This window comes from Homo sapiens, chromosome 7 (assembly GCF_000001405.40).
Source record: "Homo sapiens chromosome 7, GRCh38.p14 Primary Assembly".
NCBI classification, from domain to species: Eukaryota; Metazoa; Chordata; class Mammalia; order Primates; family Hominidae; genus Homo; species Homo sapiens.
The window spans coordinates 130,291,394-130,305,473 of record NC_000007.14 but is presented as its reverse complement, the minus strand read 5'-3'; the positions used below and the strand labels follow the sequence as shown (position 1 = coordinate 130,305,473).

The following is a 14,080-nucleotide window of genomic DNA, read 5'->3' as shown; positions in this document are numbered from 1 at the left end:
GGTACACAAACCAGGCTGTTTCGGTCGACATGATAAATGAATTTGGTTTTAAACTAAGAAGAAGGGGGGCTCGCTATAGCTCTTTGTAAATGGCAGCCATGAATCCTGGCTCCTGCCTTTGCCATAGTGTTGGGCCCCCTTGGGTCAGAGCTTGGTGCTAATGAAGCCAGGGTCTCCAACAGATTGGCAAAAATATTTAAATGTAATTATCCAGCTCCGTGGCAGGTCTCCTCTCCCACTGGTAATTTGCTTAGTGCTATAAGCCTGAGTTCTTTGGGACTTATACGAAGCTGAGGGTTTGGCAAATTCTTAGCACCATTGGTGTTCCATGGGTTATACGCCCAAATTCCTTCTTATTCATTCAACTGGATTTTTATGTAATTTATGTCATTATCATAGCTCTCTACCTCTTTGCCAATACAGTCTTGAATCTGTTAGAAATATTTGGAAATTAGGCTTTGTGCAACCAAGGATCAGAGGCTGGGCTTAAAATTACACCAACCCTCAAATTCACTTCCTAAGTTGATTTTCCAGTAAGTACCCCCTGAAAGCAGAATAGAAGTCAGGCCCACCCCAACCTGTCCTGCTATTTACAGAGGTGAGAATGAAAGTAAAAGACTGTCCCATCTGAGAGCTTTCTGGAATACTAATCACCTCCCTTTGATCCTGTCTTTCAGCCAAAACTTGGAATGGGATGTGCTCCTTCTAACTCCCCCTACATTAGACAAAAGCAAGGGGCTCTGTCAGACCAAGTTCCAGCCCAGGTACAATGTGTCCTGACCTCGCTTTCCTCCCTGAAGTCAAGGAGTTCAAAAAGCTACCCTTTTCAGAGGTCTGAGGCTGGGTCCTGGGCATGAGGACCCAGGAGACCCTTCCAAGTGCATGTGGCCTCACCTTCAGTACATACATCGGCCGGTTTTCAAACGAATGTCCAATCTTCACCCTCCTCGCCAGGTCAGGAAAGTCTGCGGCAATGTTGTCCATCTCGTGGTAAATCTGAAGCATGAAAGAGTGAATCCAGGGACATTTTAAAAATCTGCTTATCTATGGCTGGATATCTGTGATTTACCTTGTTGATCTTAACTATCTCTTCCGGGACCCTAATCTTGGAATTGACCATATTATCGGCATGGAAACGCTGATTATGAGACCTGCCTGAATAGTCCTTTTCTACAATTTTCTGGAGAGTAGCACACTTGTTTGTTCACAAAATTGTAGTCCACTAAACTAGAGTAGAGAGGCTTTTGCAATATTGCTCTAACACTGTGTCCTTTGTCACTGTACTAGACTGGACAGTCAAAGACAAGCGGCCAGGCACAGTGACTCATGCCTGTGATCCCAGCAATCTGGGAGACTGAGGCGGGAGGATTGCTTGAGGCCAGGAGTTTGAGACAGCCTGGGCAACATAGTGAGACCCCATCTCTACAAGAAACATTTAAAAATAAAAATAGTTCATAAAAAATATGGAAGAGGGAAGGAAAGAAAGAAATTTTAAAATTTAAGAATAGTAATAATAAAATAAAATAAAAACAAGCCAGGTGCAGTGGCTCATGCCTATAATCCCAACACTTTGGGAGGCCAAGGTGGGAGAATCACTTGAGCCCAGGAGTTCGAGACCAGCCTGGGCAACGTAAGGAGACTCCCCAGCTCTACAAATAATGAAACAAAAAAAAAAAAAATAGGCAGCTGCGGTGGCGTGTATCTGTGGTCCCAGCTACTCAGGAAGCTGAGGTGGGAGAATTGTTCAAGCCTGGGAGGTTTAGGCTACAGTGAGCCACGAATGCACCACTGCACTCCAGCCTGGGCAACAAGTGAGACCCTGTCTGAAAAATAAAAAATAAAAAGAAAGAGCTCCAAGGCTCTTAAAACAGTACTCTCCAAAATTCTGTGATGACTTTCTCTACTCAAAAATAATAAAAAATTAGCATGCACCATATACATGTACACACACACAGACACACACACAATGATACAAATATATTGTGTACATTATTAAACAATTGAAATGGTTGTATTAATAATAAACAGAAATATATGTAGAAATATAAATAGAAGTTGTAATTGTTTCTTCCTTCATCCCAGTGGACTATCTTGCTTACATCCTGTGGATACATGTGCCCCCCTTTGGAGATAATTTCTCTAAAGGCTTTGTGAGTGCAAGTGAAGAAAGGTAAATAAACGGCTAAAAATACCCTTATTTGCTTTCAGGAAAAAAGTTCGATTTAAATAGAATTTATCCATCTTAGTTTTCAAACCACTTGAGGGCCAAAAGAAAATAAACAAATGTATTTGTTTCAGCCTTAAGACTGGAAGAAGGAACTATACAGAGGAGGAAAATGTGTAATTAATATAGAACAAAGTCAAGCTTAAAGGGTTTATCAGACTTGCCGTCAATACGGTAGACCGAACAGAAGCAAGAAACCACCTCCAAATACATAGGCAAACCAGGTAAAATACAAGGAAAATGATTCACAGCCAAGTTTAAAAGCTAAACAAGAGGAAATTGTAGGTGCCAGAAACAAAGAAGGAACTAACTAGGAGGGTGGAGGGTGGGAGATGATGCCACAGAGCCCCATCTCTGCCTTGGGTGCTACAGGCTTAGGCAAACCTGGACTAGGAGGAGAGCCATAGGACCCAGCATGGCACAAGGAGCTGGAACTTGAGAGCTAGGAATGGGCAATTTGGGCCACAAAAAGGGCCTGGAAATTCTACCCACTCTACCCACTGACCCTAGGGAGTGGAGGAAAAGCAGGATAGCTGCCTTGAGCTTTGAGAGAAAAGAGAGTCATCCAGGAAAAGTTAAAACACCAAGCTGTGTCCAGGTGTGGAGTGCAAATTCACACTGCCCACCACTACCACAACACAGACAATGGCTTTGGAACCAGAAACTCTGGCAGAGACAAACATGAAATTCCCACTAGAGACCTAAGAAAGCCTAAGTGGTTGCGTGAGCCAATATGAGCGCTCTTTTTTTTTTTTTTTTTTGAGACAGAGTCTCGCTCAGTCACCCAGGCTGGAGTGCAGTGGTGCAATCTTGGCTCACTGCAACCTCCGCCTCCCGGTTTCAAGTGATTCTCCTGCCTCAGCTTCCCAAGTAGCTGGGACTACAGGTGCCTGCCACCACGCCCAGCTAATTTTTGTATTTTTTTAGTTGAGACGGGGTTTCACCATGTTAGCCAGGCTGGTCCTGAACTACTGACCTCAAGTGATCTGCCCACCTCGGCCTCCCAAAGTTCTGGGATTACAGGTGTGAGCCACCATGCCCAGCCTAGAATACGAGTTCTTTAGCTGTTTTTAGAAAGAACTGTATATGACTGAGCTAGGAGGGTGGTGGCACACCAATCCACAGTGGAGGGTGTCACAGTGAGGACAAGATTGCTGTAAGCCAGGCTGCAAAGGGCGCCTCAAACCAGAGAAATCAGTGGTAAGCCAGTGAGACAGTGAGGCTCCAGCAGTCGGCAGGTGAGGGGATGGCCCCTCCAGGGTCTTGGGTGACATTTGCAACTGGTTAGCTCAGCTGGCGAGGGCCCCATGTTCATGAGGCTGATTTCATGGGCTTGATCCCTGTGTGGGCTCTGAGCTCTGCTTTCGTCCATGGCCCAAGACTGAACTTCTAACTTTATCCAGCTGTTTTGCAGATGTATGTCACTGGTCACAAGAGGGATCAAGGGGCAGTGCCGTTGGAAGTATATACAATAAACAAAGCTACCGACAAGCATGGGAAAGAAGTGGAAATAGTCAACCTTTGAAATCCTCCCTCAAGAAGAGAAACGACTCAAAGTATACGCCTTGTGAAATGCATGCCAACAACACCATGTCTGTATATCAAGAACAACATGTATTAAGGTACACCAGGGGGAATACTAATTTAGATGTGGGGGAGTGATCCTGAGCTAGTTGTCTGCAGATGAATGAAGGAGACACTGAGGGGTGTAAGAGAACTGTACCGCATTCATGGTACAGTTCTATTCTACAGCCTCTCTTGATTTCTTAAGTCCCAGTATCCTAGGAAATTATTCTGCTTCAAGTTTTTCATTTGAAGGTTTGGCTTACCTTGAAAGTCAGCCATCTATATCAAGTGGTTTCTAGCTAAACACAGCACCAAAATGCATGATGGAACAAATATATACATTATAAGTAGTCATGATAAATGAGTGGAAATATTTGGTTAACCTTCGAAATCATCATTTGTCTACTTGCCTGGAATAAGTAACATTTTATTCTGGGTGAGTAAAATAGAGGGATTATGGTAGGGTAGAAGAAGGTTGAATTACAAGGACTAGAAATGATTGCAATTATTTTCATGGTATTCTGAAAGAGTTGCTTAAGGAGAGAAGGATGGTTGAGGGAGGAAATAGCCAGGCTGTATTTCATGACACTCTGAGGTGCTGGTAGGAGTTCAGCAATCCAAGAATTAGAAAGGAATTGAAGTGTACACATTTTAGCCCCTCAGTGAGGGGATATTGTGCTGAAGACTAATGTCTCCTGGAAGTAAGGAGAGAGGTTACAAAATTCAGGAGGCAGAGAACCTTGATCTTAACCCACTCTGAAACACTTACAGCTTCCAGGGAATGGTAAGCCCCGTAGTTGAAGTTATTACTGCTCCGTTCTTGCCCTTCATTGTGTTGCATTTCATCATCTTCATTGTCTAAAAGGGCCTGAAAACACACAGCAATGTTGTGAAGTGATCCATTGCAGACGCAGGTTTATGTTTTTTCTGCCATATCTTTGCATATGGGTCAGCCAAGATGGCGGCCCTTTCAGCATATCAAGCAGCACAAATGTCAAGGTTTAAAAGGGGGTTAGATTTCTTTCATATCTTTATAAAATTTTATTTCTTGGCTGGGCAGGGTGGCTCATGTCTGTAATCCCAGCACTTTGGGAGGCTGAGGCGGGCGGATCACGAGGTCAGGAGATCGAGACCATCCTGGCCAACATGGTGAGACCCTGTCTCTACTAAAAATACAAAAATTTGCTGGGCGTGGTGGTGCGTGCCTGTAGTCCCAGCTACTTGGGAGGCTGAGGCAGGAGAATCGCTTGAACCAGGGAGTCAGAGGTTGCAGTGAGCCGAGATTGCACCATTATACTCTAGCCTGGCGAAAGAGAGAGACTCCATCTCAAAAAAAAAAAAAAAAAAAAATTTACTTCTTGGGGCCCAATTTACATGGCCTCATTCAAAACCCACTTACTCCCTGGAAGCAACATATGCGCTCTTTGGCTATCCTATAGTATGAACTCTGTAGACATCAGCCCGCATCTGGTATCCAGTGCCTCTGAAATACACAGCTTGGGAAACCATTCAGAAACAAAGAAATTCTTATAACCACTCGTGCTTTGAAGGTTCCTGGCAGATGTCTGTGACATGTGAGGATGATTAATAAGCTCATAGCTGCTAACGCCATCAGGAAACTCCCAGGCCAGATCACCAATTAGTCCATAACCCACCTCGGTGAAGGAGAGAGCATGAGCCAGACCCTGTCCTGATGTTCAGATACAGGTCGTGAGGCCAGAGGACGGCATTCCCTCTGCTGGGGCTATCCATGACATTCCCCCTGTCTCAAAGGGTGCCTCTGTGGCTGGTCCCCAACACCCTCCCTCATCTCTGCTCTTGCCACCTGGAAGGACTTCAAAGAAGGAAAGAAAGAGGGACTTATGACTTAATGGCAGACGTAGGATATGCCAGGCACTGTTAGACATTTTACATACATTTAATCCTGAGTCTTCTCAACAAATCACATGACGAAGGTCTCACTATCACCATTTTACTGATGAAGAAACGGAGGCTCAGCGGGTTAATAACTTGTCCAAAGACACAGCACATAGCACTAGTAGTTAGCAAAATCAGGATTTGGATCCAAATCTGTGTGGTTCCCTGGCCTATTTATGCCCTTTCTACTACAAAATGTTGTTCCTCTAACAAGTCACTGCACTTTACTTCCATTTGCCTCCATTTCCTGGTCTATAAAATAGAAAAGGATAAAACCAGAACTTGCAAATCACTCCGGTCTACTCTGGACTGGCTGCCTGGTCCTATGCAAGAGCAGGAGGCAGGAGGCATAGTCTACCTACCTGCAGGTCCTCAATTGTCACTGCGTACTCTAAGCCCTGGGATCTCAGGAAGGATTTAAATGCCTGCAGACTGACAGATGGGACCAGGACATCCACAGGCCGATTGAAGGAGGAGGGAGATTTCCAGAAATTGAGCTGAAGGGAACAGAAATGAAACCAGGTTAAAGGACCGTTCAGGTAAAATGCACAATGAGGTTATTCTTCTAGAACACTGCCAAAAGCCAGGGTGATCCCTGAGAGGCTAGGCTCTGCCCAAGGGCAAAGTTTGCCCATTTCACAATTGTGTCTGGTTGGACCTGCCCAACAAGCAGTATCTGGCAGAGACCAAGAGTCATAAGTGGATGGCAGCTAGAAGGATGGAGCCTATACTGTTCAAGCATCCCCTCTCCCAGGACACCACAGCTGTGATGTGCTCCCTCTCTCCCATCAGCCCCCTCAATTGTATAAATGGCAAGTGGACTCCCACAGGATTATATTCAGAGACTCCTCAGAAATAAAAATAATAATGCCAGTAGAGCAAGAGTCTTCTCCCAGCAAAGTTAGAAAACACTCAGGAGAGCTAAAAAGAACCAGGTACCTTCAAGTTGTTTGAATTCACTAGTTGACTCAATTTGCTGATCTCGTCTCCATTTCTGACATTAATCCTCAAAACTTGGTCCCTGGGGAAGAAGCGAAAAGGAAAAAAGAGCAAAAGATAATGATGAGCTTTCAGCTGGCAAAGAAACCCCCAAGCCTCCTATCCCAGACGTAACCAGGCCAAAAGAAAGGAAATGGTCTAGTCTTTGGTTTTAATGTATGGCCATTAAAAATGAGGCTACATGGCAACTATGAAAAAGTGCTTATGGCATAACTTTAAGGGAAATATTAAGTGAAAGAGCAGGACACAAAATTGTATGTATGCCATGATTATAAGTATGGAAAAAGCAGATGCATTGGAAGAAAAACAGACAGCGGAAATATACCAAATGCTGACAGCCCTTATGTTCGGGTCGTGGGATTATGGATGACTTACTTTTTTCCCCCTTGTATCTGTTTTCTGTAATGTGATCATATTACTTTATAATGAAAAACACATATATTTTACAGGAAGGAATGTGCCTGAGTTACACGCAAAGCTAACTCAAGACATAAAGAAGCACTTCTTCACTGTCAGGGCTGAGGACTGAAACCCTGACGGAACCTCCATGCTGGAAAGAAAACAGCATCTCCATGCTGGGAGGGTGAGCTGTGCCGTCTTAAAACAGGCGAGGCTGGGTGCTCGCTCAGTCCCTTCCAGCTCCAGAACCCCACACAGAGGCTCGTTTGGGTGGAAACTGACTATGGCCCATGGTGCTGAGGCTGGATGTAGGATCCACTCCTCCCTACGGGGTGAGAGGGGACCCTTAAAGGACACAGACGGGGCCGGCCAGTCTCAGTCCCCTTTGTCGTTTGTCCTGAGCTTGCTTCATATACGTGATTTAGCTTCTGCAGCGGCGGCAGGGGTAGTGGCCCCCGAAGTCCTGTGTGTGGGTGGGAGAAAGCAGGGCCTGAAATGCTGCCTTTATGCTCTCAGCTGGCTGGGGGAGATGGGAGCCATTAGGCTGTTGCTAGGTGACAGCTCCAAAGAATCCTCACTCGATGTTGTCACTGTGTCATCTCTTTGACACAAGTGAATGCAAAGAGAGCCGCTGTGGGCTCAAGGACCTGTTGAGAGTGAATGGCTGTCACAGGGAGCTGAGTGTGCAGCCTCATGGGGCAGCTCCTCATCAGAAAACCGGTTTCATCCAGATGGCTCTTCAGGGTTTTGCTGGGTTCTGGAAGGTTCTAGGGGCTCTCCAGTGGGTCTAGGCCAGACTTAAGGAGTCAAGGTCCACTGCAGAGCCACTCCTGCTGCAGGTGGCTGGTCTGGAGGAGATGACAGTGCTGAAGGTTCCCTTTCTCCCAACCCACCTGGTCCCCAAAGGGTCCTGGAGGTCAGCGGGTAACTGCACCCTGTGGGCACTGCCGAGGGCCCTGAAGAGATACCACTGGGTGGGCAGGTCTCAGTCTGAACCCAACAGGCTTGCCAAGAGTTGGACCTACCGCCCTGGGAAGATGAGGCATCAAACCTGATCGTTCCCTGACCTCGGCAAGCACCATTGAAAAAAAGGGACCGATGTAAGACAGAATGGAGCCAGGCACCGTGGCTCACACTTGTGATCCCAGTGCTTCAGGAAACCAAGGTGAGAGGATTGCTTGAGGCCAGGAGGTCAAGATCATCCTGGACAAAATAGTGAGACTTTGCCTCTACAAAAAAATGAAAAACAATTAGCTGGGCGTGGTGGTTCACACCTGTAGGCCAGCTACTCAGGAGGCTGAGGCAGGAGGATCGCTGGAGCCCAGGAGTTCAACGCTGCAGTGAGCTATGATCACACCTCTGCACTCTAACCTGGGCAATAGAGCAAGACTCCCATCTCAAAAAACTAAAATTAAAAATAAATAAATTTAAAAAACAGAAAGGAAATCTTTACTCCTGGATGGGGACAAGGGCCCGTCCGCTGAACTCACGCTCTATCATAACCTACCTCCAACACTCCAAAGAGGGGGTATCTTTAAAGTGGGGATTCTATACTTGGGAGGCTAAGGCAGGAGGATTGCTTGAGCCCAGGAGTTCAAAAGCTGCAGTGAGCTATGATTGCATCACCGCACTCCAGTCTGGTTGACAGAACAAGACCCTGTCTCAAAAAAAAAAAAAAAAAAAAAAAAAGTGAGGGGAGCTGCTAGAAAGATCTTGTGTGGTGACATATTTATTAGCACAGTTAAGCGTGTGTAAAATGCAGCACTGGCTACAGCAATCACAAAGAGGAAAAGGAGAAAGAAGGGACAGGAGGAGAAAAAAGGAGGACATAAGAATAAGAAGCTCTTTGAGTATGAAAATCATGTTACGCATTCACCCAACACATGCGTTTTAGTTTTTCCAAAGTGGTGACTTCACAACAGAACTTGTAGACATTCCTGGGCGCAGTCCCAGGACAATGGGACACCGTGTCTCTGACTGGCCCTGAGGATGATTAAATCCACAAACCCATTTCATCCTGCTCTAATCAGCCAAGCTACAGAGGTCAACAAAATATCTGTAGCATGCAAAGCGGCAGGGCAGAAGAGCGGGTGCCGAGTGAAGCCCGTTCCATCTGTCTCTTCTTCACCTCTCCCTTCTGCCCCATCTCGGACCCAGCCCAAACTCACCGCGTACTTTTGTATGCTTTTGTACACGCTGTTCCCACTGCCTGCAATCCATCCTTTTTCTCATCTGTCAGGCCCATCTAGTCCCATCTAATCTTTAGGACCAACTCACATCACCCATGAAGCTTTTCCTGACCAGAGGAAGCAAAGTCCTAACAGTCTTCAGATAGTGCTGAACATTGGCGGTTGTGGTAGTGGGTAGCATTATCCTTTTTTTTCAGATGGAGTTTTTGCTCTTGTTGCCTTGCCCAGGCTGGAGTGCAATAGCACGATCTCAGCTCACTGCAATCTCCGCCTCCGGGGTTCAAGTGATTCTCCTGCCTCAGCCTCCCAAGTAGCTGGGATTGCAGGCATGCACCTCCACGCCCAGCTAATTTTGTATTTTTAGTAGAGGCGGGGTTTCTCTATGTTGGTCAGGCTGGTCTCGAACTCCCGACCTCAGGTGATCCACCTGCCTCAGCCTCCCAAAGTGCTGGGATTACAGGTGTGAGCCACTGCACCCAGCGGTAGCATTATCCTTATGAACAGAAGCACAGCAACACCTGAAAGGAGGGAGGACATTGCGGGGTGCAATGCGAAGGGCAGCCTTTTTCTTGCCCTCACTGTCCTTGTCTGTATTTGAAAAATGCCCTCGTCAGTTCATGAGGCTCAAGATGGTGGAGCACATCCTATCTCCACTATCCAGAAATTCACTCAAAGACCTTGAGCTCTTTCTGAAGATGGAAATTGGCCTGGGAGGGGGACGTGTTGGGATTCACAGGTGGCCATGTCTGCCCCTCCTGCTCCACACAGGTGTTCTCACAGCTCCTCTTAACTTGATCCTCTCCAATAGACAGGGCGTCCAGCTGCTGCCATTGCAATGGCTGGCACTCCCACTCCCTCACCCTCACAGGAGTCTGTGCTTTGGACAGTCAATACCCACTTTGGTGACTGAGCATCTATCCCTCCCCTTTCACCATGCTGACAGCCAAGTGGCCCGTCCTTTGTGCCTTTCTCATCTGCCTCCCTAGCCAGGCTTAGCAGCCACCACAAAGAATATTAAGAGATGGTTTCATAGAACTCTTAGATGCCTGCCAGCTACTGTTGATGCTGTAACCAGCTCTGCAACTGGTTCCTGTTCTCTGCCTGCCTGGTGCCTCTAGGCATCCTGGCCATTGTCCCATCCTGAAGATCTCTGAAGACCAGGGCAGAAGACTCCAGTAGAGCAAGAGAGACTGGGGAGATAGGTGAGGCAGATGGAAGGGAGGGGAATGGGTGGTGGGTGGTGGGGAGAAACCATCATCCTCATCTTCAGCAGCCAATCCAGAGCCTGGCTTCCCAACCACTTGAATGCTCAGAGGCCAGCTTCCCCTTGCTCTAAATGTTCCCCTTGCTCTAAAAGCTGGGTGTCTGGGACACCTCTAGAGAGCCCAGGAAGAATTCCACTACCTTTGCTAGGTTTCCTACTATGGCGTGAGAATGGATTTGGGGATGAGAATGACACTATCAGTTCAAACCATCTGCAGTCAGCTCAGGCACACAGCTTTTTCTGTGCAAAATTCCTGCAGAGAGCATTCTAGGGCCTGGCCCAGCTGTCGCAGCCCAGGTGCCCACCACATTGCAAGAGAGGTCTGTATCTTGCGAAATAGAGATTTTTCAGCCACATGAATAGCTGCAGTGGGAGCCTGACAGTTCCATGCGTCAGCCCACACGGCAGCAAGTCTAGTCACTACACACCTACTGCTGAGCCGCCTGTGGGAAAATCTTCCCTGGCCACCTGCCACTCCTAACCCCTCTGAGCTATTTGGCAACAGAGACACAGGTGTGAACAGAAGTCATCATCATAAAACTTAGTCAATCTCATATAAGTAATTACCTCAAAAAACAACCCCAAAGTCTCATTAGCCAGATAGTAAAATAGAAAGAAAACTAAGAGACAGATCCAAGAGATATAGGATTTTATTTGGAGATGAACTTGTGTTATAGCAAAAGGGTACGAGTTTTACGTTCAGAGTTCCAGCTCCCCTGCTTCCCAGCTAAGTGGCCTTGAGCGCGTTCCTTAACATTCTAAGGCTGATTTTTTTCATGTTTAAGTGGAAGAAAATAACACCCCTGCCTGGCAAAGTTGTTGTGTGATCAAAAAGATAATGTACATGAAAGCTCTTTGCAAATGGTAAAGTATTATGCAGTAATGAGTTATTATAATTCAGTCTTCTAACAGGGCACCATGGTATCCCTTTTATCTCTCCTACCACCCAAATGTCCTCTCCCCTGCAAACCTCAAAGTATTCTGCATGGAGCGTGTTGAGCACGTGTGTGTGTGCACACACACACGCGCACACACACACGGTGTTCAGGCATGTGTCTCTGCATGTCATTTTCATAGCTGTGTCTAGGCAAGACCTGTGAAATCTCCACGTCCCAGAAGCCAGTAAGAAAGCACCAGCTCAGAAGAGGGTGTAGCTCAGGGGTAGAGCATTAAACTGCAGATCAAGAGAAGGCACCAGCTCTGCAAAGCCTTCGCCATTAACAAAGAAGTGAAACCAACAAGCTTGAGACCCAGGGTTTCCCTTTATGCATGGCGGAAATTGGAAACAAACCATTTCTGGTAACCAGTAACTCTTAGTAATTAATAACGTAGCTCTTAGTAACCAGTAACTCTTAGTAATTAATAAGGTAGGAGTAAGAAAGTAGATGCCTGGAACTGACCTTATAAGTAAGAACTAGGCAGAAAAAGAACTGGCAGGAGATGAGGGAGCTGGGGAGAGACTGCAATGATCATCTAGTCCTGATTTCACAGATGAAATGGGGTCTCAGAGAAGAGAGTGGACTTGTCCAGGATGACACAGGGGCAAAGCTGGAACAAGAGCCCAGGTCTTCTTCCTCCATGTGAGCTATTATCAGCCATTCATTTTCAGTTCCATTTGGCTCCCATATTTCTGAAATAACCAAATAATAAGTCCAAAAGGAACTTACCCAAAAAATTTTTCTTGGCCACAGATGCTGGACCCAATAAGGGCCCCAATGAACAGTATCCACCTCATGTCCCCGGGGAGTCAGTCATACAGTGGCTGAGTCAAGCTGTATTTATAAAGAGTCTGAGAGTGACTCAAGTCCTCAAAAATGCTAATGTGATTCCCAAGCACCCTTGCAACTCTGACTGTGACAGGCAGGCCCTACCAATGCCTCTCCCATTCCTTTCAAGTGATAAAGGTTGAGCATCTCAATTTACAAGGTCAGGAACTTGCTCCAGGAGCTGAAAAAGTCTGTGCCAAGGGTACCATATTGCTCATCACTTGGCATTTAAATAGTGTTTTTTCAGTGAATAAGCTAATTCCACAGTGTTGGATGGAATTTATCCTGATAGGAGAGGTCAGATTATAAACCTGGCATAGAATTACCTCTAGAATAATAATAAAAAAGTTAAGACTATCAAAGCAAGACTGAGCTGGCTCCAAGACCACATGCTTGACAAGCCCTGCCAGAGAATTTCACCAGGGCAGGTCAGGATGAGGAAAGAGGTTTGGGGCCTCTTTTATGTATCTGAAGCCTAATTCTTCTGACTCCACTAAGGAAATAGAAATGTATCAGGCAAATGATATAGAAAGGATGTTTTAGTCTGAATAAATTATCAGTGTTCCTTGGGGTCTGATCTATGGGGAAGGCTTAATGGTTTTATCAATAATAAGATTTTCAGCCGGGCGAGGTGGCTCATGCCTGTAATCCTAGCACTTTGGGAGGCCGAGGTGGGCGGATCACGAGGTCAGGAGATTGAGACCATCCTGGCTATCACAGTGAAACCTCGTCTCTACTAAAAATACAAAAAATTAGCCGGGCGTGGTGGCGGACGCCTGTAGTCCCAGCTACTCAGGAGAATGGCGTGAACCTGGGAGGCGGAGCTTGCAGTGAGCCGAGATCGCACCACTGCACTCCAGCCTGGGCGACAGAGTGAGACTCCATCTCAAATAAATAAATAAATAAATAATAAGATTTTCTTATACTTCCTAGACTGTGGGTCTGGTGTCCTTTCCGCCAAGTCACAGCTGAATAAATGGAAGACACTCATATCTCCATAACGCCTTCAGGGGCTCTGGGACCTTTGAGTCTGTCCTGGGAGCCCCAGTTCCCACAGCCTTTCCCATCCCACCCTCCCTACGGTCTACATGCTTTCCACACCCACTCAAAGGGAGTGGACACAACCAAGGGTCATAGTTGAGAGAGTTAAAGAAAAACTATCCTGACCTGTGTTAAAATGTAAGACCTAATTCAAGATTATTATGATTAGGACCATGGCTATTTCAGTAGGAAAGACTTACTGTGCTTAACACTGAATACGGCAAAGAAAACAGAGAGGATCAGTGGGATTACTAAGAGAAGACATCAAGGTAGGGGGATTCTTGCTAAAAGCAGGCCAAGGACTTATACATCAAAGTCCCCATCAAAGGTGGGGATGAGGAACTTGATCAGATATCAAGGTGGGAGGGATGACTTCGCAGGATCTTTGCTCAGGCTGGCTTAGCCAGGGCTCAAGAACCAGCCTAATCAAAAGGAGGGTGCAGAATCTCAAGTGTGGTCCCAGAGAGAGCCTTTGTTAGGAGCTGTGGAGCTAGGGGCCATCATCTCCTCTTGCTCCCTCAGGGTCCTTTTGTCCTCTCAACACTTCAACTGAATTCCTACACCCACCCTGTCCACCACAAAGCGTGGGCTCAGCGTCACTGAGATCGATGTCAGCTTTGAAGTCAGCAACAAGAACAACTGAGACCCAAATCTGTAAGAGATGTGAAGTGGGAGAATCAAGGACCAAGCATTCTAGGCAAGCTGAAATTTAGTT

General features: G+C 46.4%; 1 protein-coding gene across 3 annotated transcripts in view, besides 2 other annotated features; it reads right to left on the bottom strand.

Moving 5' to 3' along the window:
• CPA4 (carboxypeptidase A4) overlaps nucleotides 1–12,313 on the bottom strand; it is a 31,020-nt gene extending 18,707 nt beyond the window's left edge. Inside the window, exons 1-5 of one of the 3 annotated variants that reach the window (NM_016352.4) lie at nucleotides 12,226–12,313; nucleotides 6,647–6,728; nucleotides 6,070–6,204; nucleotides 4,560–4,658; nucleotides 895–996 (exon numbers count right to left, since the gene is read on the bottom strand). In NM_016352.4, the coding sequence (NP_057436.2) occupies nucleotides 895–996; nucleotides 4,560–4,658; nucleotides 6,070–6,204; nucleotides 6,647–6,728; nucleotides 12,226–12,293 (486 nt within the window). In that variant the 5' untranslated portion in view covers nucleotides 12,294–12,313. Of the gene's footprint in view, nucleotides 1–894; nucleotides 997–4,559; nucleotides 4,659–6,069; nucleotides 6,205–6,646; nucleotides 6,729–11,958; nucleotides 12,170–12,225 lie in introns of those variants that run through there. The other 2 variants (XM_047420438.1, NM_001163446.2) reach the window with 2 other exon arrangements.
• Nucleotides 7,508–8,008: an enhancer, noted in NCBI's record as "H3K4me1 hESC enhancer chr7:129937306-129937806 (GRCh37/hg19 assembly coordinates)". NCBI's record gives its function as "activates a minimal SCP1, AML or CMV promoter by ChIP-STARR-seq in primed H9 embryonic stem cells {active_cell/tissue: H9 hESC(primed)}" and the evidence as "EXISTENCE:reporter gene assay evidence [ECO:0000049][PMID:30033119]".
• Nucleotides 11,819–11,908: an enhancer, noted in NCBI's record as "active region_26652". NCBI's record gives its function as "activates an Ori minimal core promoter by ATAC-STARR-seq in GM12878 lymphoblastoid cells {active_cell/tissue: GM12878}" and the evidence as "EXISTENCE:reporter gene assay evidence [ECO:0000049][PMID:35858748]".